This window comes from Homo sapiens, chromosome 4, assembly GCF_000001405.40.
Source record: "Homo sapiens chromosome 4, GRCh38.p14 Primary Assembly".
NCBI lineage: Eukaryota > Metazoa > Chordata > Mammalia > Primates > Hominidae > Homo > Homo sapiens.
This window is the reverse complement of record NC_000004.12, coordinates 182297027-182322827: the sequence shown is the minus strand read 5'-3', so window position 1 is coordinate 182322827 and position 25801 is coordinate 182297027. Positions and strand designations below refer to the sequence as shown.

The window sequence follows — 25801 nt, the reverse complement described above, 5'->3', positions numbered from 1 at the left end:
GACCGCTGTTGAGATAGTAGTTTCTTCACCTCCAAAAAAAGTGAGTCCCTCTCTCAAAGAATCAGTGTCTCTGGTCTCAGTCTTGGTCTGTCTCTGTCTCTGTCTGTCTCTGTCTCTGACTGTCTCTCTCTTTCTCCCCCACTCTCTCGAGCATGCACTGTCAGTATACACATCATACAGCTCATTAATGTGCTTCCAACTTGGAGCCTTGTGGCTGACTCTCTCCCATGTCAACTCAGCTTATCCTGGAGTTGTCAAGAATTCTTGATCCTTTCTGTTGTAACGTTACAAATGTACCCCTCACTTTCCAAGTTTTGCCTTCCATCAGCTACAAGAAGAGTGGCAAGACTCCCTGCGCTGGAATAATCACAGAGTTCCACAGCCCAGACCTGGGAAGGTTTGGAGTGTTCCTCCCTGCTATGTCTTCAACCAAATTATACCCTCCTCTCTCCATGTTGCCAATGAAGGGTTCCCTTGTGGGGTTCCATATTTCTCTGCTTCCAAATACCGATATGGCTACCAAATACTGAGCTGTTCAAAGTAGTTGCTAATATTTTAGTTTAGTCTTGGAATATATCTTGATTTCTCTACCTTTGTCTTCTTTTCCATGAATTTGGTTTTTATTTTAAAAAACGATTTTTCACTGACCCCTCTGATTCATTACTCCATTATTACATTTACAAATTCTTCCAATAGCTCTTAAGAGAAACTGAATTTCTCATATTGTACCTTTCCTTTCAAACTTAAATTGAAATAATAAACAATTTCAAGGTATGGTGACAGACTATTTTTATACCAAAGGATTAAAACAACAACACACCAATTCACTCTTTTTATTCCAACAAAGAGAAGTATTATTTATTTATTTATTATTATTATTTTTTAGACGGAATCTCGCTCTGTTGCCCAGGCTGGAGTGCAGTGGCGCGCTCTTGGCTCACTGCAACCTCCGCCTCCTGGGTTCAAGTGATTCTCCTGCCTCAGCCTCCCAAGTAACTGGGACTATAGGAGCTCACCACCACATCCGGCTACTTCTTTGTATTTTTAATACAGATGGGGTTTCACCATGTTAGCCAGGATGGCCTCCATCTCCTGACCTCGTGATCCGCCCACTTCAGCCTCCCAAAGTGCTGGGATTACAGGCATGAGCCACCACTCCCGGCCAAGAGAAGTTATTTTATTATTATTATTATTATTATTTTGAGACAGAGTCTTGCTCTGTTGCCCAGTCTGGAGTGCAGTGGCACAATCTTGGCTTGCTGCAACCTTTGCCTCCCAGGTTCAAGCAATTCTCCTGCCTGAACCTCCCGAGTAGCTGGACTTACAGGTACCCACCACCACGCTCAGCTAATTTTTGTATTTTTAGTGGAGACGGGGTTTCACCATGTTGGTGAGGCTGGTCTAGAACTCCTGACCTCAGGTGATCCACCTGCCTTGGCCTCTCAAAGTGCTGGGATTACAGGAGTGAGCCACCGCGCCCGGCCCCAAGAAGTTATTTTAGATGAATATTTACTGGGTGACTACTATGTGCTAGGCTGCCTTCTAGGTGCTGAGGACAAAGAGTGGATAAATGTTCCTGTCCTTATGGGGCATACATTTAGTCAGGGAAACAGGTACATTCTTTCTGACAGAGTGAATAAATATGTCTCAGTTCCAGGGAAATTTTGTTTCCAAATCATCTTGATCTTTTTGGAGGGAGGGCCCTATAGACCGAAAACTAAATGATCATTAAAAAGCTTTTCATTGATCAGAAAAATATAATTCGAGCATTTTTAGTAATAAAGATTCGGGATTTGAAGTCATTATAAAAGTTTCATTTCTTGCCCTAAATTGACATCTATTTTAAAATAAGTGTTGCTATATATACACATATGTATGCATTTTGGTACTTTAAAACTGAACTGATTGAAGCAAGGGGAAATCGTTTTCTGCTCTGCTGCTGTTTTGCTTCAATTAGTTGGACCAGGTATTGACTGGCAAACTCTGCCAGCCAAATCGGATCCACCACCTGTTTTTGTAAGTAAAGTTTTTCTGGAACACAGCCCTTGCATTTGTTGACCTATTGTCCTTGGCCATTTTCATGCTACAAAGACAGAGCTGAGTGGCTGCAATAGGAACTGCAGTGGTTTGAATTGTGTCTCCCCAAAAGATAAATCTTAACTGAAATCTTAACTCCCAGTATCTGCGACTGTGATCTTATTTGAAAATGGGGTTTTACTTTTATTTCTGCAGATGTAGTAAGATTATGATGAGGTCATACTGGATTAGGGAGGGCCCTAAATGCAATGACTGGTGTCTTTATGAGAGACAGGAGAGGAAAATTTGGATACAGGCACACACAGACACATAGGAAAGAAGGCCAGGAGAAGACAGAGGCAGAGATTGGAGCAATGGCCCTGAAAGCCAAGGAGCACGAATGGCCACCAGCAACCAACAGAAGTCAGAAGAGAGGCGCGAAGCAGATTCTTCTCTGGACCGCAGAGGTGTGGCCCTTGACCTCACACTTTTTACCTCCAGAACTGACAGAATAACTTCCTGTTGTTCTAAGCCACCAGGGTTGTGGTCATTTCTCACTGCAGCCACAGGAAACTAACACAGAGACCTGATGGCCTGCAAAGTCTAAACTATTTGCTATCTGGTCCTTTAGAGAAAACAGTGTGTAAACCTCTGAGTTAAACCATCCGTCTTTCCATTCTCTTTGGATTTTTTTTTTTTTAGACGGAGTTTCACTCTTTCACTCAGGCTGGATTGCACTGGTGCAATCTCAGCTCACTGCAACCTCTGCCTCCCTTGTTCAAGCGATTCTCCCACCTCAGCCTCCCAAATAGCTGGGATTACAGGCGCGTGCCACCACACCCGGCTAATTTGTATATTTTTAGTAGAGATGGGGTTTCACCATGTTGGCAAGGCTTGTCTCAAACTCCTGACGTCAGGTGATCTGCCCGCCTTGGCCTCCCAAAGGGTTGGGATTTACAGGCGTGAGCTGCAGTGCCCGGCCCCATTTGGATCTTCAAGGGCAAAAAGTATTCTCTCTACTGTATCATTTTCATGATACCATTTTATAATCTTGCAAATTAGATAATCAGTACGTTCTTTAACACAGTAATAGCAATTAAAGATGCAACTTTGTGGTAATACTTCTAAAGTTTATAAATCAATACCAACTAAATGTTAACACCTAGTAATGGAAAGATGATTTTAGGTATTCTTAAGCTTTCTAAAACATCTCTAGCATCAAATATCTGAGTTTTCTTTATTTGTGAAGCAATTCTCCAGTGCCACAATACATCAAGATGTAGTATTTGATTATGCCATCAAAGATCGAGGCAATTTGATCTTAGACTGTAAACAATAAAAAGTCCTCTGTATCTCCTTTTCATTTTCGTACATAGTTCAAACTCTTCGAGGATTTAATCTACACTGCAATATTTGCAACTACTGATATGCTTCATTGATGGAAGTCAGTGAGTTCAATATGACTTCAAAAGGCAGTTTTCTGTGTTATCTCTTCCACTCAAGGCTGAAGACGAGAAGGTTAAGAAATGCAGCTTAAGTAATGCCAAATTGTTAGAGCACTTTGATAGTGACTGCACAGTCCTACACAAGGAAGAGGGTCACTGTGTGCATATTTAGCAAACAGCATTTAATGAATATGACATTAGCTGCATCAGTGGGCAAAGCCTTTGAAAAATAAGGAAAGCCATTAGAAAGGTGACAAAAAACAAAAAACAAAAAAACAAACAAAAGAAACCTTTTGATTGGCCAGGCTCAGTGGCTCATGCCTGTAATCCCAGCACTTTGGGAGGCTGAGGTGAGAGGACTGCTTGAGCCCAGGAGTTCAAGACCAGCCTGGGCAACACAGTGAGACCACATTTCTATAAAAAAATCAAAAATTAGCTGGGCATGGTGGCACATGCCTGTAGTTCTAGCTACTCAGGAGGCTGAGACAGGGGGATCGCTTGAGCCCAGGACTTCAAGGACAGAGCGAGCCATGATCATGCCACTGCACTCCAGCCCAGGCAACAGAGTGCGACTCTGTCTCAAAAAACAAAACAGATAAAAAACTTCTGATTGAACTGGCTACAGCAAACACACAACAATATCAAGCTGAGTTGGTTAATTTTCATTAGCTCCTTGAAACGCAACTCAGCTACTAACCATAGCACTCCTCTGGAAACCACAGCTGGGCTTAAAGCAAGTTGGATTACTTGGTTATTTGCTTCTTCCCAACACTCTGCAAAGTATTTGACTGAATGAATGAATGGGCAGGCAATCCCTGCCTTATGGACACTAAACTTAGGTTGATCCTATCCTTTATTTCAGATGTATTATTTAAATATATTTTGAAACTTGGCCAGAGAAGTTTCGTAATGTAATGATGTAATGACATCATTACATTGTTTTATAACATGTTCCTAATCCTGATGAAATACTTTTAATTGTATCTTTAGAAAGTAACTTGATTTTAACTGTAAATTTTGTATCTTTAAAACCCTTGATGCCAATGATTACAATTTATCAAACATCCCTAACATCAATTGTAGTTCTAAAATTCCATAAGGTTATATATATCTATGTAGAGACTGAAATATAACAAATATCCAAACCCAAAAGATTAAATAACCTCTAGATGAAACTCACTCATGCTTCCATTTTTATCTGTTTTCTGTACAAATTACAAAGCCTTGAATGTTACCTTGGATATCTCTATATAGTGTCCTCCTATCTTTATTATAGTCTGGAAAAGCTCACCCCCACAATAACCAGACTTCAAAGCAACACTAATTTACACCAACACATTTTAGATTAAAGGTCTAAATTAAGTTCTTTGTACAGAGTACCAAAAAATTTTTGCCTTTTGTTACTCACAATTTGTATTTTCACTAATGTTAGTATTTATGATTTATTGCCAGTTATATCAATTGAACAGTAAATACAACTTTGCATACCATAAGAATTTCAAAGCATTTCCTTTATTGAATAGCTAAAATAATTGAGGAAATCAATTGCTTTTGTTCATTTTAGAGAAAATTATGTTTCCTGAGGCAAATGTATAAATCCAAAAATTGAAATAATTAAGTACAAAAATAAAATCATATATATATATATATTTTTGGTAGTGCTAAATTCAAGCATAACTAGAATTTGAGCTTATAGTTTCAAATAGTAGAACACAAGAGAATCTAACTATCATGTTAGCGGTAAAAAGTTAAAACACAAGGCCAGGCATGGTGGCTCACACCTGCAATTCCAGCACTTTGGGAGGCCAAAGCAGGAACATTGCTTGAGCCCAGGAGTTTGGGACCAGCTTGATGAAACCCTCTCTCTACAAAAACCAAACCAAACAACAACAAAACAAAAAAAAACAGGCACAGTGGCACATGCCTGTAGTCCCAGCTACTTGGGTGGCTGAGACGGGAGGATCAATTGAGGCTAGGATGTGGAGGCTGCAGTGAGCCATGACAGTGCCACTGCACTCTAGCCTCGGAGACAGAGTAAGACCCTGTCTCGAAAAAACACCCCACAAAGACTGTGAAAGGAAATATAGGAAAAGGGGAATCTACTATGAATATAAAATGTGAGACTTGTTGGGAAGATTCAGAGACAGAGAAAAATCAATATAATGAATAGTGATTGAGGAGGTTAAAGTTGGGCAGGTTGTTTTCTTTACACATGACAGTAAACAAAGAGAACTTTTGACAGCAATAATAAATAAGAAGCCACCTTTTGCTTCCAGCCAAGATTGCAGTAACAAGAACTGGATTACCCTGATAGCTAAAACATAACAACAAAAAGACAAAATATCTGGAACAACAGTTTTCAAGCCATTGACATCAGTCAGTGAAGGACAGTGAATCCTGAGAGATGAGAAACAATTAAGCTGTGCCATGGATCACACCTGCTTACTGCCTTGAAAATTTCCAGACTGTAGCACAGGAAGGGGGACCCAGGAAGAGTCCAGAAGACCCTCACAATTAGAGGTGAAGCTGAGCCCCGTAGAACAGGTGGTAAGAATTTGCAGGACAAGTTGCTAGAGAAAAGAGAGCCACTTGGAGAAAGAATTCTGAGGATCTGCCAAGGGTCCCTCTGGGGTGTTCCACAGAGTACTGATCGACACAAGTGTGTGAGGAGACCACTGGAGGGCACAGAAAGAATGATCTGAAAGGACTGTATCAGGGTATCTCAACCTCAGCACTACTCACCTCCTTGAAAGAAAAATTCCTTTTTTGTGGGAGTGGGGGCATTTTGTAGTAGGATGTTGGGCAGTATTCCTAGCCTCTACCCACTAGATGCCAGGAGCAGCCCCAGTCATGACAATCAAAAATATTTCTAGATATTACCAAATGTCCCTGGGGCAAAATTTTGCCTCTAAAGGACCACTGAATCACAGGTAAAGTAAGTATACAGGGCTCACACAAGGCCAAGAATAGTGTCTGTTTCCAGCAGCCAGATTGGGAAAAAAAAAAAATTCATACTTCACTGGGCGATGTACTCAGAAAGTTCTTGCTTCAGTTGCGGGGAATAATTAGCAGTAAACTAAACACAGTTCTGGTTCTACCTAGCAAAACTTAAAAGCAAGACCAGGAAGGATCTAACTGTTTCCAAGTCGCTTAACTTCTTTTTGCACAACAGCAAAGCTTAAGAATATTACAGAAATATAAAAATATCCATCATTCAACAAGATAAAATCCACCATGGTTGACATCCAATAAAAAATTACCAGGTATGCAAAGAAGAAGGAAAATAATATAGAGAAAAATCAATCAATTGAAACTACCCAGAAGTGATATTGGTGTAAGAATTCATAGAGAAGGACATGAAAATGGTTATAATAACTGCATCCCATACAATCAAAAAATTAGAGACATGGCATATATAAAAAGAAGGCTAAAGTCAAACTTCAAGAGAAAAACTTCAATGTCTGAGATAAAAAATATACTGAATAGGATTAATGGCAGATTAGACACTGCAGAAGAAAAGAGCAGAGAACTCAAAATGGTAATAGAAACTACACAAAATAAAGCACAGAAAAAGAATGGGTGGATAAATAAATAAATAAATCATCAGAGAGACACAGGACTACTTTAAGAGACCAATATACATGTGGTCAAAATTCCAGAAGAAGAAGACAGACAAAAGTGAACAGAAAAAAATGTGAAGAAATAATAACTGAAGATGTTTCAAAATTGATGAATATTATAAACTTACAGATGCCAGTAGCTCAACAAGCCCCAAACACAAGAAATGTGAACAAAACTACACCAGGGCATTTGGTTATGTTTAACTGCTCAAAACCAGTGATAAAGAGAAAATCTTAAAGGCAGACACAGGAAAAAGGCATCATCACATACAGAGCTTCTCACAGGAAATAATGTAAGCTAAATGACAAAATCTTTAAAGTACTGAAAGAAAAAAAAAACCCTAGAATTTTATATCCCATGAAAATAACTCTCAAAAATGAAGGTGAAATAAATACCTTTTTGGACATACAGAAGCTGATCATCAGCAGACTCTCATTACAAAAAAATGTAAAGGAAGCCCTTCAGGCAAAATAAAAACAAAATCACATAGAAATAAGTACCTATACAAAGGAATAAACAGCACTTGAAAATGGTATGTGGTTAAATATATAAGATATTGTTCTTACTATTTAAATCTCCTTAAATATAGATAACTAAGCAATCATCGTAGCCGTGTACTGTAGCATTTATAACATGTGTAAGTAAAATATATCTCAATAATAGCATAAAGGAAGGGAGAGGACATGCAGAAGTACACTATTACAAGGTATGTGAAGTGACCTAATATCACGTCAAGGCAGACAGTGTTATATTAAAGATATACAGTTTAAACCCTAAACAGGGCACTGAAACAGCAAAGCAAATAGTTATAACTAACAGTCACGAAAGGGGAAACAGAAATTTTAAAAATGGAAGCATAAAAATATACAACTAATCAAAAGAAGGTAGTAAAAGGGGAAAGTTGAACACGGAAAATATGGTACAGATCAAATGCAAATAGCAAGATGATAGACTTAAACCCAACTAGGTCAAAAATCACATTAAATGTAAATGGTCTAAAAACTCCACAAAATGCAGAGATTTTCAGATTGGATAATTTTTAAAGATCCAATTAGATGCTATTTCCAAGAAACACACTTAAATATAACAACACAAATAGGTTAAAAGTAAATGAATGAAAAAAGAGAATTCTAACTCTATCAATAATCACATTAAACATAAATAATTTACACACACCAATTAAAAGGCAGAGATTGTCACACTGGATGAAAAAGCAAGACAAGACCAGATAGAGGAATGCTGTGCAGTGATTCAAAAGAATGCAGCTGATCTGTATGTATAGACATGAAATTGTGCACAAAGCACAGTGACCATTGATTTCTTTACTTATTCACTTATCCTACATGTATAAATGCTACCAGCTGTCATGGTGACATGACATTGTAAGAAGCAATGGGAATGCAGGAATACACAACACGTAGCCCCTGCCCTCTTTTTTTTTTTTTGAGACGGAGTCTCGCTCTGTCGCCCAGGCTGGAGTGTAGTGGCGCGATCTCGGCTCACTGCAAGCTCCGCCTCCCAGGTTCACGCCATTCTCCTGCCTCAGCCTCCCGAGTAGCTGGGACTACAGGCGCTTGCCAAAGCGCCCGGCTAATTTTTTTGTATTTTTAGTAGAGACAGGGTTTCATCATGGTCTCGATCTCCTGACCTCGTGATCTGCCTGCCTCGGACTCCCCAACTGCTGGGATTACAGGCATGAGCCACCACGCCCAGCCAGCCCGTGCCCTCTTTTAATCTGAGAAAGGAGACAGAATATAAAGAAAATCAATGTATTTATAATTGTATAAATCAGACTTTTAGCTTAGGAAGATCTCTCTGGCTGAAGGATGGAAAATAGGGGAAAAGGGATGGAGTGGAGATTTAGAAAAATGGATGGATATGAGAGATAGTTAGAGGTGGCATCAGCATGACTGTGATGGGCTAAAATGAGGGTGAGGAAAAGAAAAGAGTTGAGAATGATACCAACTTTCTGGCTTGAGCAGCTGAGTGAAGAGGAAACTCTCCTGAGAGAGAGAAAACAGGAGGCCATCCCCTAAGCACTGTTTAATACACATTCCCAATATTTGCTGTTTTTTTTTCATTTAAAATATGTATTAAGCAGGTAATATTTTTTCCTTCTGGAAACTGGAAAATGCAGATAAGACAAAAAATAATAATTGCCCTCCTAGCTTTTTGGTGTTCACCTTTTCAGACTTTTTCCATGCATATGCTGTATGTATATATGAACATGTGTGTATATATATATATTTAAAATGGATAATCTTGTAACCCATTTTTACTTAATATATTATGAACATTTTCATGTTGATAAAGATATATTTATGTTGTTATTTTTAGTATAATGAACAGAAAACTTATTGTTTTAAAATTCAAAACTACTCATCATGGATGAATTATCATGAATAAACGTAAATTTAGGTAATAAAATATATAGAACTATAAATAGTATATTTAGGAAATATATTAAAATAGCTACTGAATAACTGTGAATACTGAAAGATTTTTAATTGGAAAATATATAGAACAGTGCCTTAGGCTATAAGAAAAGTGGCTTAACTCTCATCAATGCATTAAAAATTTTTTCAAAAATATTCCTATGTAGAAGGAAACAAAAACTGAAAATGATCAAAAAAGAAAAAAATAAAGATAATAAGGTTAATTTACTCAGTAAAGTGAGAATATATTCTATGATTTCAAAACAAAACAATTCATTTGCATGGTTTGAAAATAAAAGTAATTCTGTTTTTCCTGATAAAAATTATGGAAAGAAAATTTAATAGACACTAGTAATATATATTAATCCAGTCATTTAGTTTGTGGTTGCAAACAGAGGAATAACTACAGGGAAGAGGTCATAATTTCTATACTTAGAATAGATGGGAAAAGGCACTCAAGGATCCAATACAGCTGAGCCAAATGCAGCTTTCCAAGCTTGCAGACCTTTAGGGTAAAGTGTAAATAATACCTCTCAATTTGTCTGCCTGCCTGGATCAACCAATATCCATCATACCTATTTACACATTTCTATGATGGCTTAAATCAGACACCCTGAATATAGAGGCCACTACTTTTTTCACCTGCGCTTCGGCATGAGCCAGGACTTTGAAAATTTTGCCAGTAATAATATCTGGTTCAGAGGGAAAAGTAAGAAACACAATTATATGTCATTCAGATAATACTGTGGTATCCGAATGGCCTCAAACACACTAGGTAAAAAAACAACCAAATAGACAGTTTGATATCACTCCAGATGTCTTATTCTGATTGAAGTAGGTCATTCCATCTTCGGCTGAACATGTCCACCTCAGTGGACATGCCAGGCACAATCACACACACAGTAATAATAATAACCTCTATTTATTCTATTTTATTTCTTTATTTTTTGAGACAGGGTCTCGCTCTGCTGCCCAGGCTGGAGTACGGTGGTACGATCACAGCTCACTGCAGCCTTGAACTTCCAGACTCAAGCAATTCTCAGGCCTTGGCCTCCCAAAGTACTGGGGACTACAGGCGTGAGCCACCACACCAAGCCAATAACCTCAATTTATTAAACGCTTTTTCATGCTGGGTATTTTACACATTGCATTTCTAAACCTAACAGCAACACAGCCAGTTTGTGTTATTGCCAGTTATAGAGATGAGGAACTATGACAACTAATAAAAATGTTCAAGTCATGCAACTAACCAGTAGTGTGGCTAGGCTGGGGCTCACACCCCCATATGGTGCTCTTCCATTTATTTCTTGGAAAAGTTGCCAAACGGTAAGACTTGTGTAGCATCAAGTCCAAATTCAAACCTTTAGTCGTAATGAGAGAAAAGCAAGTTTTCTAGATGACTTCAAAACAACTACAGCTTTCCATATTTAAAAAGTGCCTTAAAGATGGGTCTCACTGGCCCAGTGATAGTTGGGAAGTCTGTGTGCCACTGGGGGAGCTTCTTCAATGAAGAGCTCATGTGATTTCCCTAAGTGCTGGGCATATTCCTCTCTTTCAGAGTGGACATAAAAGCTCCTTGACGAATTATTAATTTCAATCTTGATTATTTATTGAGTGCTTAAAATATGCCAGGTGCTTTACATATATGACCTCACTTAATCCTCACAACAACCTTGCTAAATAAGAATTATCAACTCCATTTTCGCATGACAGAACTGAGGCCCAGAGAGATTCACTGGCCCATCCAAGGTCATAGAGTCAGAAATCACCTGAGCTGAATTTGAACACATTTCAGTTTCATTCCAAATCTCTCCTCTTAACCTCTGGACTATACTTCCAAACCTTAGAACAAAGAGGAGATTTAAGAGATAAAATTTTTTAAGAAGTAAAAAAGAGAGAGAGAGATGACAGCAATGAGTTTAACAAACCATGTCAGGATGTCAACAGATCCAGTATTAACAAAGTCAATGAAGGCTGTCATATTGAAAATTACATTTGCAGAGATCACAGCTTTGGGGATGCAAAAATAAAAGCCAAGTGAAATTCAACTCAGGAGTAAGAAAGGTGTAAAATGTAAGACCAAGAGGATAAAATCTACTGAAAACATTTTCAAGCTGCTTCTTCAGGGAAAAGACGATTAGAGAAGAACATAAATGACACCCTGGTGTGATATTATGTGTTTCAGAGGGAGACGTGCTCACAATTCTCTTTGCTTGTCTGTCATCCTATGTGGTTCAGTTATCAAAGGAGACAGGCTCTCTTCCATCACAGCCTTGGTAGCTGTACTAATTTTGTTTTGTGGGCCAGGCACAGTGGCTCACGCCTGTAATCCCAGTACTTTGGGAGGCCAAGGCGGGTGGATCACTGGAGGTCAGGAGTTCGAGACCAGCCTGGCCAACATGGTGAAACCCCATCTCTACTAAAAATACAAAAAACATTAGTTGGGCCTGGTGACACACGCCTGTAGTCCCAGCTACTCGGGAGGCTGAGGCAGGAGAATCGCTTGAACCCAGGAGACGGAGGCTGCAGTGAGCCAAGATCGTGCCACTGCACTGCAGCCTGGTCAACAGAGTGAGACTCTGTCTCAAAAACAAACAAACAAAAAAACCTGTTTCATGTATTTCCCTGAAAAAAAAAAACACCCTTCCCCCACATGGAGACAAAGGGGTTGGGGTGGAACAGACCCCAGTCGTGGGGTCCAGGAACAGCCTGAACAAAGTCTCAGGGACTGGTTAAGAATGAACATGTGACCAATGAGGTCAGTCCTGGGACATCTGGTGAAACTACTGGGAATGAGCCTACTCTTTTCATTAGAGTTGCTAAGGGGAAGATGTAAACTTGTAGCTTGTTTACATTTTTGCCGTCATTTGGAGAAAGCCTGCCTCCTGCTCACTGACGTCTACGTAGAAGAAGCAGACCTCAGTGACTGACAGAAATAAATGATTCTGAGAGCTGTGTATGGTGGCACGCACCTGTAATCCAAGCTACTTGGGAGGCTGAGGCAGGAGGATCACTTGAGCCCAGGAGTTTGAGACCAGCCTAGGCAACATAGTGAAATCCCATCTCAATTAAAAATAAATAAATAAAAATAAGAATTTAAAGAAAAAGAAATATGCTTCTGAAATAACAAGTTCTTACCCTGGATATTTCAACTGAAAAAACTATATCAATACAACTGGGAAGGAGACAGAGAACAGGTTTTGTAATCAGACAAAACTATGTCTAAAGTCTAGCTCCACTATTTACAAATGATGTGACACATGGCCTTGGACAGGTTACTTAAGCTCTCTGAGGCTTAGTTTACTACTTTTAATTATCCAAAAAGCATATGACAATACCTTTCTAGCGGAGATATTATGAAGATTAAATGAGATAAAGTTTTTTAGGGCATTCAGCACAGTTATTGGCACATAACATAATGAGTACTTGATAAAGGGCAGCTACTATAATGACATCAAGTACATTGCCCGGTGTCCGAGAATCATGTCCGCTGTCATTAGGCTTAAATCTCAGTAATCTGGGGGAGCTGGTTTGCGAAAAATACACCAAAGCCCAGTCTATACGGTTGAGAGCAAGAGATTATACCTCTGTTACGAAATTGCTATTTTGCTAAAATGTGTGAATAGAATTTGAGTTTTGAATTTTTATGAGCTTATTCAGAGGGACTATGTCATCAAATAAGAAAAAAATTGTTCCCACACCAATAATTTCAAAATGATTTCATGTCTAATGTTATCCAAATATTTTTGTCTTGGTAGTAGAAAGCAGTAGGCAGACGCTGGCAGGACTTTCAAGAGGAGGAATGAAACTGATGAAGAGTCTCCAGACTGAAGAATGCTGGTAGGCTTATTTTAGTAACTAGGTGAAGACCTGGTAACTACCCCCAAGTATTTGGAGAATAAGGGATAACTGCAGTTATTCATGCCTCTGTTACCCACAGGCAAAATTACTATAATAAACATATACACTGTCTACTGCCCACCAGACAGCTCTCATCTTAGTCTGAAAAGCAGCAAACCAGCCACACGGCACCTTCCTCACGGATCCCTGGAAAGTGGGAAATTCGCACTCAGCGATGCGAATGCAGGTGTCTCCGTCAACATGGCATCTGTCAGTGGACAGACGAATTCCCAAACCCCACTTCCTCCTTGAAGGAGGTAAGCTCTAGGGGATAGATAAGTTCCAGAGTAGATTCAGGATCCCAAAAACCCTTTGGGTTCAGTCTGAGTGTCTGATTCGTCCCAAGAACTGAGGAAAGTCTCTGAGCTTGCTGTGGAGACAGTAGGGGCTAGGTCGGTTCTGGACTCAGTATCAATGTGTAGGGGAAACAGCCAGCCTGGCTAGCGGTCTGTGTGCTTACTCGGAGGATTCCATTCTCTAGAATATTTTTCTTCGTGGGTGTTTATTGTTTGTTTTTAAACACATTGTAATGCAACAGTATTGGGGAATATAAATATGCTTGACTAGGTATAGGCTCACACAGAAATATACTGTTTGGACTTCTCAAGTTTAGTTACACACCTTAAAATGCATAGGCACAATACACTCAAATATTATGACTTTGTATAAATACTGCCAAATAGTCAAGTAAAAATAGGAAACACGTATCCTATACCTTTGTGGTTCTGGATTTCCTAGATGATTTATATCATAAAGACAAATACATGCATAGGTTGGGCACAGCGGCTCACACCTGTAATCACAGCACATTAGGAGGCTGAGGCAGGAGGATCACTTGAGGCCAGGAGTTCAAGACCAGCGTGGGCAATATAGTGAGATCCCATCTCTACAAAACAAGTTTTTTTGTTTTGTTTTGTTTTTTAATTAGCCAGTCACGGTGGCACATACCACCTGTAGGCCTAGCTACTCAGAAGGCTGGGGTGGAAGGATCACTTGAGCCCAGGAGTTCAAGGCTGCAGTGAGCTATGACTGCACCACTGCACTCCAGCCTGGGTGACAGAGTGAGACCCTGTCTCATAAAAAAAAAAACCAAATATGTGCATAATCTATAATTTTAAAAAGTTTTCATGGGTCAGGTAGACAACGCCCAACCCAGGCATCGGGTCATCTGCTGAGGGGGTTGGGGGGCTCAATCCAGCCTGTGCTTTGCGGTTGCCCAGTTCAGCACCCCTAGGAGGGGGCTGTGTCTGCTCAAAGGAGGCACCTCCCAATAATGGACACAAAGGCTCTTGAGTAAGTGGCCCAATTAAATTTGTTTCAATGCTGTTACTAGTGGTAGTTATAAACCACGGCAGAGGATTAAAATGGACCTAGTCAGTAGATAAAAATGTTGCGTTCTCAGATGTCTGCTAAAGTAGGATTCTTCCAAAGCTCTTCCTGACCACAAAAGGGGAGTGCAGGCAAGAATGTTCCAGCAGGCACAGAGAGCAAGGCAGTTTCCTTGGTTTCCCATTGACTGCCTGCCAAGTGGAGAAGCTGGACTTTTGCCACTGTATTTCATACCTTGGTGATGTATTCTAGACAACTGTTAAAAACCACACTTTCAAGGTAAGCTAGTAAATTGTGGCTATTCAATAAATATTAAACCACAACAACAATTTGGAGTAAGTCAATTTGGTCTACGTTTCCTCAAAGGGAGGCATTGCTAAAATGCAGTCGTCACTGTTGAGAAAATATGATCTAATTTTGCCCACCACGGCTCTGCTTTAAAGTAATTCAATTTGCTGTTCAGCTCATTACAAAATAGTTATGATATCAATTAATAGTTACAGCTATAATCCCTATGTCAGGAGGATTTTAAATTTAATTTGGATGGAGCATTAAGGAAAGGACTCTAAATTCATGAAAATACCTTCCTCAGGTGAGTGCTACTCTACATTTCCATCTCTTTCCCAACTGGGTGTTGGCATTTTGTCCTAGTCCAGAGGCAACCCTTCTGCAACCAGGAGGTGTAGAAGGGTTCTTTGTGCTCATATAATTTTTGGTCTCTCTACTTTCTAACTACCAGTAGGGGGCCAATTAGCACAGATTACGATGATTATTTTGCACAATGGACACCTGTCACCCATGAACCGGACTGAGACCACAAAACCAATTTCCTGTGGGTCACCAAGTAGTAATGATTGCTAGTTTTCATCAGTCCAGGCTGCATTCCTCTTCATCTGCCCCACTTTCCTCCCCCTTCACAATTACCATTATCCTGTATGTACAAGTGTGTAATGGTGATACCACTTTGGAAAGAAGAAATTGTGAATACGTATCATATCAAGATTTCCATATTATTTTTGGAAAATAGCCACATTTCATTGGATTATTTCTACAGTATGTGGTAGTAAACGTGTAATGTGGAATATATTTTAATTGCTGTGATGTAAATGAGACTTTGGGGTCATGTTACAGAGTGTTAACTGAAAGATCCAGCTATGACTTTAGCATGCCTGCAGGCCTTTTAAATTGTTATGGGAAATTGCAGCATTCAATTGAGTAGTTTCAACACTGAGCTCCCCTAAGGCTTATTACAGTTTGGCAACATGATGCCAATTTCAACTAATGTACATAATGCCTTTCTCCTCTCATACTTTATCTACAGAACCTTTCTAGTATGTACAACTTGAAAATCATGAAACCCTAGGCAGATGAAGAGCATATTCTTGACACAATCTACCATTATGTTATTGGCAAGAGTCCTCAGATACTACAGGTTTCTGCTCAGATGGGGTTCAGAGCACCAGGAGTATCACAATATTTATCCAGTAATAATAAAAAGCAATAAATGGGAAAAGTTCAAATTATTATAATGAAATTTCCTATTAAAACATTTTGTTATAAACTCTCCTTAAGAAATGCATCCAGGTAACTCAAAGATTCAAGTAGGAAACACCTATCTACTTATGATAATAACATACATATAAAATGTATTATAACTTATAAACATTTTCACGTATGCTTTCAAAGTAACTTGGCTGTACAAACCTGATTCAGAAAACATCTTTCAGGCTGGACATGGTGGCTCAGGCCTGTAATCCTAGCACTTTGGGAGGCTGAGGCAGGAGGGTCACCTGAGCCTAGGAGGTCAAGGTTGCAGGCTATGAGGGTGCCACTGTACTCCAGCCTGGGTGACAGAGGAAGACTGTCTCAAAAAAAAAGAAAAAAAAAGAAAGAAAGAAACTATCTTTCAAATGTAAGTATGGTTCACTATCATATCACGGGACAGAGGAGGGGGCCCTCTTTCTTCTCCTTGGGTGCATGAAGTACAGGTTTGTGTAACTTCCTGGTGCTGAAGGGGAAAAGATCAGCCAGACCCACCACCTGACCAGACAGGGCCAGGCACCTCCAGCTCCTCCCATATGGACGGTGCTTCTGCCTTGCACACTTCCCAGATGGCTAGGGTCACCCTCCCTTTGGCCAGATCTGCAGGATTCAGGGTGTTAATAACAATGGTGTACGAAATTCTTTCCCTTCCACCATTACTAAAGAACGTAAGAACATCCAGGATAGCAACGACTTCCTCCCAAGCCCTACATGAAATGGGCTTCTGTGAAGTAAGCACCACGCATCAAACTGGCATTGGGTATTGCTGCAAAGTCACATACACAGGACACAGTCTGATCATTGAATACTCTGCAGGGGGTTACCCTTCCATCCAAGGCCAAGGCAGGAAGGCCGCAAAGAGCCGCTGTGCAGAAGTAGAGGCGTGTAACCGGGAAAGAGAACTGGGACACACATCGGAAGGACCTAGTTTAAGAACTGTAGTGAAAGAGGATAAATTATGGCTAAAATATCAGTAAAGTGAATACCATCAAAATGCAGATTCTGAATAATAACTCTCTTCCATGATCTGGGGATGGATCACCACAATAACATTTTTAGTCTGACTACACCTAGTTTTCTTGTTCAACAAATCCTCCAGCACAGTATTCACGGCCTACTTCGAAATAAACATTTTGGTGGCATGTTGGAAGGAATAAAAGACTCAAAACAACATTGAAAAGCCACATCCAATTATAATGCAATTAGTTTTACAGTAAATCAGCACCTTACAGTATTGATAAAGAAACAAAAGCTGTCTTACTTGCTGGCCTTCAGAACTTGTTATTTGTTAACAATCTGTTCCTTTTGTTTTTGTGGTTTTTTTTTTAGATCTGTTTACTGCCTTGACCATGTCCTCTTCTATACTTCCAGAGCAAAAACCTCACAGATTTCAGTAAATATGTCAGAATTGCTGTAGTGGACCTGAGTCTAACCCTCAGTGGTAGCCAAAGATACCACGTTCACAAGCAGCAAAGCTCAGCTTTCTGGAAATTAGACCTTACCATCCACCTGTGTCTCCTGCTACAGGAATAAAAAGAGAGAAGAAAAGAGGAGAGGGGAGGACAGAGGAGGAGAAGAAGAAAAAGAAAAAAGAGAAAGAAAGAAAAACCCCTCGACAGACTGAATCACTGTCGTAGCACCTGTCATTCACGTGCAGCACATCAGTAAGCCGAAGTACGGTGGCTGCAAACCACTGGAGGACAATAAGGGATCTACACAACCCCACAAATCCCCTATCCATGCCAAACAGTTTTAAGCTGTGTCATTCCCGTTTCAGATTCAACTCTCTATTGGACACGACAGGTGAGAAGCAGGAGTGCTGATTGTAACTGAACTTTTATTGTGCCATCATTTTCCACCCCCTCCTCTGCTTCAAAATTCACAGTCATCCCAACAGAAAAACCTACTCCAGTGTTGCCTGCCTTTGTGTCTTGTACACAGCAGGTCTTCAATCATCAATAGTATTTCCTGATTGATGTGAACTTTGATGAGACAATACAGCCAATTTTAATTAAAAAAAATTATCTTGGCCGGGCACAGTGGCTCATGCCTGTAATCCCATTACTTAGGGAGGCCGAGGCGGGTGGATCATGAGGTCAGGAGATCGAGACCATCCCGGCTAACACGGTGAAACCCCATCTCTACTAAAAATACAAAAAATTAGCTGGGCATAGTGGCGCACACCTGTAATCTCAGCTACTTGAGAGGCTGAGGGAGGAGAATCGCTTGAACCCGGGAGGCAGAGGTTGCAGTAAGCCAAGATCGTACCACTGCACTCCAGCCTGGGCAACAGAGCAAGACTGCGTCTCAAAAAAAAAAATTTCTTGAAAGAGAAAAGATAATATAATATTGTCTTCAGGGCATCTCCTACTTGCTACTACTAGATTTAGCTCATTTTCTTTGACTTCTTTTTTTTTTTACTTGCCAATCCCCTATAGTCTTCATAGTCTATTTTAAATTTTCCTCTCGAATACTGGAAATGTGATGATCTAGCAAAAATGCTATTCTAACAAAATCAGGCTATCACATTTATATGTCTCCATGACTTTTATTATGGTAAAATTTCTATCTTGAAAAAATAATCGTTGAGCAGGATATTCTAATTATAATCTCGCAATATAAAAACAAAAGAGGAAAGCTTCGAATTAAAAATTAAACCATTAAAATGAACACATACAATTAATCTGAGGATCCTACGGCCATGTGGTGCCTAGAAAGTTGTCAAATAGAGAGTTTAAAAAGTTTAATGTCCATAGCTAAAATGTATTGAGTACCTCATTAAATGTCCACTTTACATGCCTTATCTCATTGAAATTCTACAACAAACTTAGAAGGTTGGTTCTTTTAATAACTTGTTTTTACACATAAGGAAATCTAGACTCAAGAGAAATTAAGTCACCCCCCCCACCAAGGTCATACACCTGTTAAGTAGACAGCTACGGCTCAAAACCAGATGCGCATGATGTAAAATGTATACATTGGACAATGACAGCGCGTTGACTATCAGGGCAGGTATACACAGTTGCATTGGATACAATGAAATGATGGGTCATATCAATTCTTACGCTTTATTGTGAAAGCTTTTAAAGCAAAGATGCTCATCCACCAACACAACAGAAATATGACTCTTATGTCATAATATGGTTCAGTGGGACTTTGGTAAAATTCTGAATCTGCAAGTGCCCAGTGGAGCAACCAGTCAGTGGCACGTCCCAGCACAGTAACCAACGTGTGAAATCACACAGTTGAGAAGGCCAATGCTCCAACATTAGAGCAAATGCAAATAATTTCAGCTATTCATTTCTATACTAAGTGATGATAAAAAGCATCTATCCTAATTTCAACAAGCTATGTTTAAATGCAAAACAGATTCTCCCTGGGGTTTATGACATACTTTATGAGAGAAACAGGTTTCATGAGTGAAATTAAGATAGGTTCCCATCACCGAGAATGCCGCAATTCCCATAACTAATCACCCATAAAACCTATTACAAACAAACACTAAGAAAAACTCAGAAAGCATATAAGAGTGATGAAATTTCCACTTCGATGACTGATAAAGTGAGATGTATCAAAAATCAACTGAGCTGGAAAAATGACACACTGTGAAGAGGTGCTTAAGATGATATGTGGTCAGGATCTTCCATTAGTCAAAGTGATGAGTCTCAATACATGGATATCTCAGGACTTCATACCTGGAAGCTCAGTTCTTAATGACAGAAGCCTGTCTTCTCACATGGAAATGAGAAAGAATGCCTCCAAAACCAGCACTCTAAAGGAAAAATGACTGTCAGATGAACAGCTCTCATTCTGAATGTTAAGAAAGCCCTCACTATCCTTCCATTTTAGAATTAGATAGAACAAATTTATCACACGCTCCTTAAATATTGTTTTCCAAAGCAGTTTCTTGGCTTCAAGTTTTATATCTTCTGTTATCATTATTTTGGGCTGACCATTATGAATGATGTTTCTATTCAACTTAAAAAAAAAAGACATTTAGTTTTGTTAGAGGGAAAGATGACCAAATATCCTATGCTACTTGTCTTACTTTTAAACCACTTAAAACACAAACTCTCAGCGAAGTAGATCCGTCTGTTGAACACTGGTGGATGCTTCATAAAAGTTTGCTAAATAAATACATGACTGAAAGAGTGACCCAAAAAGAATCACCCATAGGGAACCCCAGCTTTCTGTCCAGATCACAGAAGCATCTTTAACATGACTTTCACCTTCCACAGGCATCTACATAAAACGAAATGCTAACCTTCCTTTATGGTGGAAAGAGTACTTACATCACACACATGAGAACAGGTGGGGTGGGGCGTGAAAATGAGAAAAGGCTAAGGGAGGGAGACAATCTGTGGGCAAATTCAAAGAAAGCTCCCTTTTCTTTTTTGGATGGATTTTCTTCATTTAAAAGTTTTTGGCAAAATAATCATTTTTTTCCAGTAAAAGCAATTAATCCAGACACTCTAATTGGCTAGCAGGGTTGATAAAACAGCTTACCAGTCTTTAAAAGAAAATTGTATTAGTCAAGTGAGTCCTTTTAGGCCAGAGTATTTTTCCCATGATATGGAAACCCAGAAGGCACCCGAGCGTGTCCCAAGGAAGCACAGCCACTGAAGCTTGCCCTTCTGCAGAACTGGATCGCTGGCTGTTTATCCTTCTCAGTATAGGCCCCCGAATTCCCTGTCTTTAGAGTTGTGTGCCACACTTATTCCCAGTGCGATAGTGTAGCCAGGTTATCACTGAAAAGGCAAATTGCCTTTTATGACTGAATATGCTCAACTTCCTCTTCCCAGTGTATTCATTCTGTCACTTCAAAAGAAGCATCATTAAAAACCAAAAAACAAAAACTATGTCATCTGCAAAAAGCCAGTGGTGTGTTCTATTGTAGATAGTGTCACAAGAGGCTTCTCTCCTCTGACGCACCTAGGAGTGGGAATTTTCAAGATGCTCTTAAATGTGCATTTCTTTTTCATTTAACTGATTATTCATGAGTTTAAAATAATTAAAGAAAAAATCTGAAATTGACAGTAATATTTTTCTTGCTAACCTCAATTAACTTCAGCCTCTGTTCTAAATCTCATCACGCTACCTGTCAAAACCGTACCTTGTGCTGAATGGGGGGAGGAAGTGGATGGAATAAAAGCTAATAATATGGGGAAAATATATTATTTGTATCAATGTTATTTTAAAAATAAAAACAGTTTCATACAGGCAAGCTGAGAAAAATTTAAAGTTTAGTTGCATTTTTAAGTAAAAGAAGGAAAAAATTTCAGGGGCACGTAGAGGGGTGATGGAACAGTGTAAGCTTTGGTTGGCATATGTTTGACTCTATCTGACTGCAAAAGTCCTGCCAAAGTAAAGAATTTTTATGAAAGTCAAAGGAAATATAGGAAACGGTGAAAGGAAACATGTATATACCTTTTTAATCATCCTTTTGCTACAGAGGCTTAATACGCATAAGATGCAGTCCTCTTCATTCTTCTTTCAAATGTATACTTTATTTTTCTTTTTAAAGGAGAGCTTTAAAATTCAAATGCAACAGAAAACTAATGAACAAATAAAACACTTTTTTAAAAATAAATCATAGGCTGGAAATGCCAGGCTAAGAGAGGTCAAAGGTCTTTTCAGCACAAAATGAAGTCAATTATTTTGTAATTCATCATTAAATAGAATTGTGTATAAAATGGAAAGTCCATCATCATGTTTCTACCCTTTTTCAAAATCTCACTGTTTTGTGGAAGTCTAGGGAGCCTGTGGATTGTGGAGAAGCCTCAGCCTTCCAACCACCATGCTTGCAGTATGGAAGCTCTGGAAGCTATGGACAGCAAATATGCCAAACGAGCTAGAGAATTCTACAGCTGAAAAGGTAAAATATCAAGTCTCATTTGGTGTGGAGACATAGCAAGTGCAAGGCTGCAGAACACTGATCTCAGCTTCACTGGAGTGGATCCCTACCTCCCATCCCTAAGGCCAAAGGTAGGCACAAGCCGTCACCAGGTGTCCACTCCAGTCAGTGGCAAAATCCTCCAGGTGTTTAACTCGACTGTCAGACCTGTGACCTGGTAACATGTACCCAACATCTTCATGTGAAAATGTGGGACATCAGATCCCATAATTCAACATACAGAAAAGAACAAGTCAAGGTAATTTCTGTCCCCTTTTCAACTGTATGGCCTGAGAGACCAATTGTCATGTTCAGCAGAGGTTCCCTCCCTCCCTCCCTCCTTCCCTTCCTTCCTTTCTTTCTGTTTCCTTTCCTTCTTCTTCCCTTGCTTCTTTCATGAAGAAAACGATTCTCATAAATAATTATCTACTTGAGCTGGGCGTGGTGGCTCACGCCTGTAATCCAAGCACTTTGGGAGGCAGAGGCCTTGTGCACTTGAGGTCAGGAATTCAAGACCAGCCTTGCCAACATGGTGAAACCTCGTCTCTACTAAAAATACAGAAATTAGCCAGGCGTGGCTGTGAACACCTGTAATCCCAGCTACTCTAGAGGCTGAGGCACGAGAATCGCTTGAACCCAGGAGGCAGAGGCCGCATTAAGCCAAGATTGCGCCACTGCACTCCAGCCTGGGCGACAGAGTGGGACTCCATCTCAAAAGGAAAAAAAAAAAAAAAGATCTACTTGAATACAGCAGGTCTTTTCTTCTGTTCATATCAAAATGGGAAATAATCACCCTGCTCGTGCTGTAATGGAAGGCACATCCTAATAGCACACTGGGGCCTGGATTTTCCTAACCCTTCCCTCCCTCCCCCCGTCCTTGGCATCCTCCGCCATCAGTCACTTTTCAATCACCTGACCTCAGCAGGTAATTTAACTTACTTGTCCCATCTCTACAATGGGGGATAATAACACCTTGACTTTCTGGAAGTAAAGGGTTGGTCCAAATTATCCTGAGGTGCCTGCTAACTCTAAGATCTGTAATTTAGAGATTTCTCAAAGACAGTGTTCCTTCCTAATTTCTGTGACCTTGATGCACACTAAAATGTCAACCTTCCTGTGTAACATGAGCAAAGATAAGCAGCATTCATTCTGTGGCACCTTCTGTTTTGCCTTTAAAAACATTTTTATTCTTTCCTTATCTTGTACTATGAAATAATTTCCGAATCTATATTCTTCCATTAGAGGAGCACAGGCTTCCTTTTCCTTTCCCCACTTGCTCCATATTGATTCAATGAAATTGTAAGAGTTGTTTGTAAAGTCTTACTTTAGCATTTCAGAAAGTGGCCAATCAAAAAGACTCTTTGAATTATAAATCTAGTTTTACAAAGAGATGTACGCATGCCCCTGCTTGAATCTGTTTTTCATTTTTCAACAAAGTGGATGTTAATAATACTAGGAGAAACTAGTGCAATTGAGAATTTGTTACAGATTATTAGATAATCTGGTGTTTTTAATGCCCCATTATTCTTTCAGTCCTCAGTAAGCCCCAGCCAGTGGTTTCACAACTCTCCTACCTCTGAGTGACTGAGAAGCTTCATTTCTCAATCTGCAGTGGCCAGTCCATTACCTCTTTTTTTTTTTTTTTTTTTTTTTTTTTTTTTTGAGAAGGAGTCTTGCTCTGTTGCCCAAGCCTGGAATGCAGTGGTGTGATCTCAGCTCACTGCAACCTCTGCCTCCTGGGTTCAAGCGAGGTTCAAGCCATCCTCCCACCTCAGCCTCCCGAGTAGCCGGGATTACAGGTGGGCGCCATCACGCCCGGCTAATTTTTATATTTTTGGTAGAGATGGGGTTTCACCATATTGGCCAGGCTGGTCTCAAACTCCAGACCTCAGGTGATCCACCTGCCTCGGCTTCTCAAAGTGCTGGGATTACAGGCATAAGCCACCATGCCCGATCCCATTACCTCTTTTTTAATGTGCTTCAATTGTTGAGTGTCATTTTCTCCAATCTTCACTTTGATATAGTTCTTCCTTTCAAGTACTTGATTCCCATATATGCTTTTCTACCTTGTTATTTAATTCCAAGACTGCACTTTCCCAAACAATCTTTAAGTCTTTCAATCTGAGGTCCATTTTTATGTAATGTTTCACTGAAAGTTTCCTTTCTGCTTACAATCCATTTCCTTTTAACAACAAAGTTCCCCACTGTAGGTGGGGCATCCAGACTAACAGTTCAACTCTTTGTATTTGAGAAGAGAATCTACTCTGAGGAGCTTGGAGTGTCTGCCATGGCATCACAGGCCCTTCTGAGGCGTTTCCACCTCATTTCTATATTTCTTTATCCAACAACTATTTCTCAGGGACTAGGATATGGCTGGCACTGCACGAGGTGCTAGGGCTGGAAGGGTGGGGAACAGAGATACGCTGGTTTCATGCAGCTTTTAGTTCAGTGGGGGAAACAGACAACAAAATAAATAATCAAATACAAATAATTAATTATAAGTGGCGACAGGTGCTATGAAGACATCAGGTTCCTAAAATGTAGAACAGTGAGATGAGTACATGTGCCGGGATGGGGATGATGCTCTCTGAAGGAGGTGACGTTCAACGTAAGATGCACCCCTGGGTACAGGCTCCGAGGAAGTGCAGTGAGTGACCAAGGTGCCTGGGCAGAAGCCGCAGCACAGGCCTCGTGTGGGAGCAGCGCAGGCTATGGGGCAGAGGAGAGGCCTGAGAAAGTCCATGAGTGTGAATGGGAAGGAGTAACAGAGGCAGAGAGAGGAAATGAGTCACTCGAACTTCACTGAGGCCCAGGCCTGGGACAGAGGAACTGAGCTATGCTTGGATCCTGGCTATCCACCTGGCTGCCCGGTAGCCTGTTCTATACTCCACTTGTATCACACAATAAATAACAGCTAATGAGGCCATCTACCCTATCTAGACTTGTCATCTAAAAGACCGTGAAAAACACAAATGGGGAGCTTCCACACTACAGGAGCTATTCTTAGTATAGGGTTAATACATGGTCCTGGAAATTCACATGCTGGTGTGTCTGACGTAAGGCAGCTTGGGAGCCTGGGACACTGAGGATCAGGGGACGCTTTTAGTCTTCCATCCAAGAAGTAATGAAGACGAAATCTGAAACCACAGGATGGTGAATTACTATTTTCATCCTGTATTGAGGAATGGAAGTACAGAAATAAAATAATCCATTCAAAAAGCAGCACCTTCCTACTTCAAAGATCAAGACAATTCAGAAAAAGAACTTATCCATATTATCTGAATAATTGTATAAATTATTTATTTCAGTATTGGGTGGACCATAGGAAACTGCCAATATTCTACTGTTTTTCAACTATGCAAGTGACAGTGTCACCTGCATAGTGAATCCTGGAATAATCAGAACCAGTCTCTGATAAACATGACTTGGCTTTCAGCTGTGGCCCCAGTTATATGATGGGAATTTGAGTTCTCCACCTGGAGAGGGAGAGCAGAAAGGACTGTAGCCAGGCATGGTGCTGCTGTTCTCCATAAACTATTTTACTTACTCCTCATAAGGAGGTGAATAATACTATTGGCATCTTAAAGCTAAGAAGACAAAGGTTTAAAGAGATTAACTAT

The 25801-nt window shown here is 40.0% G+C and overlaps 1 protein-coding gene across 24 annotated transcripts in view; it reads right to left on the bottom strand.

Moving 5' to 3' along the window:
* Positions 1-25801, bottom strand: part of TENM3 (teneurin transmembrane protein 3) — a 1355412-nt gene that overhangs the window by 480197 nt on the left and 849414 nt on the right. For 2 of the 24 annotated variants that reach the window (XM_017008388.2, XM_047415940.1), the window contains exon 1: positions 16451-16607. The exons of the other annotated variants lie outside the window; for them this stretch is intronic. The gene's annotated coding sequence lies outside the window, so the exon portion shown is untranslated. Of the gene's footprint in view, positions 1-16450; positions 16608-25801 lie in introns of those variants that run through there. 24 annotated transcript variants of the gene reach the window in all.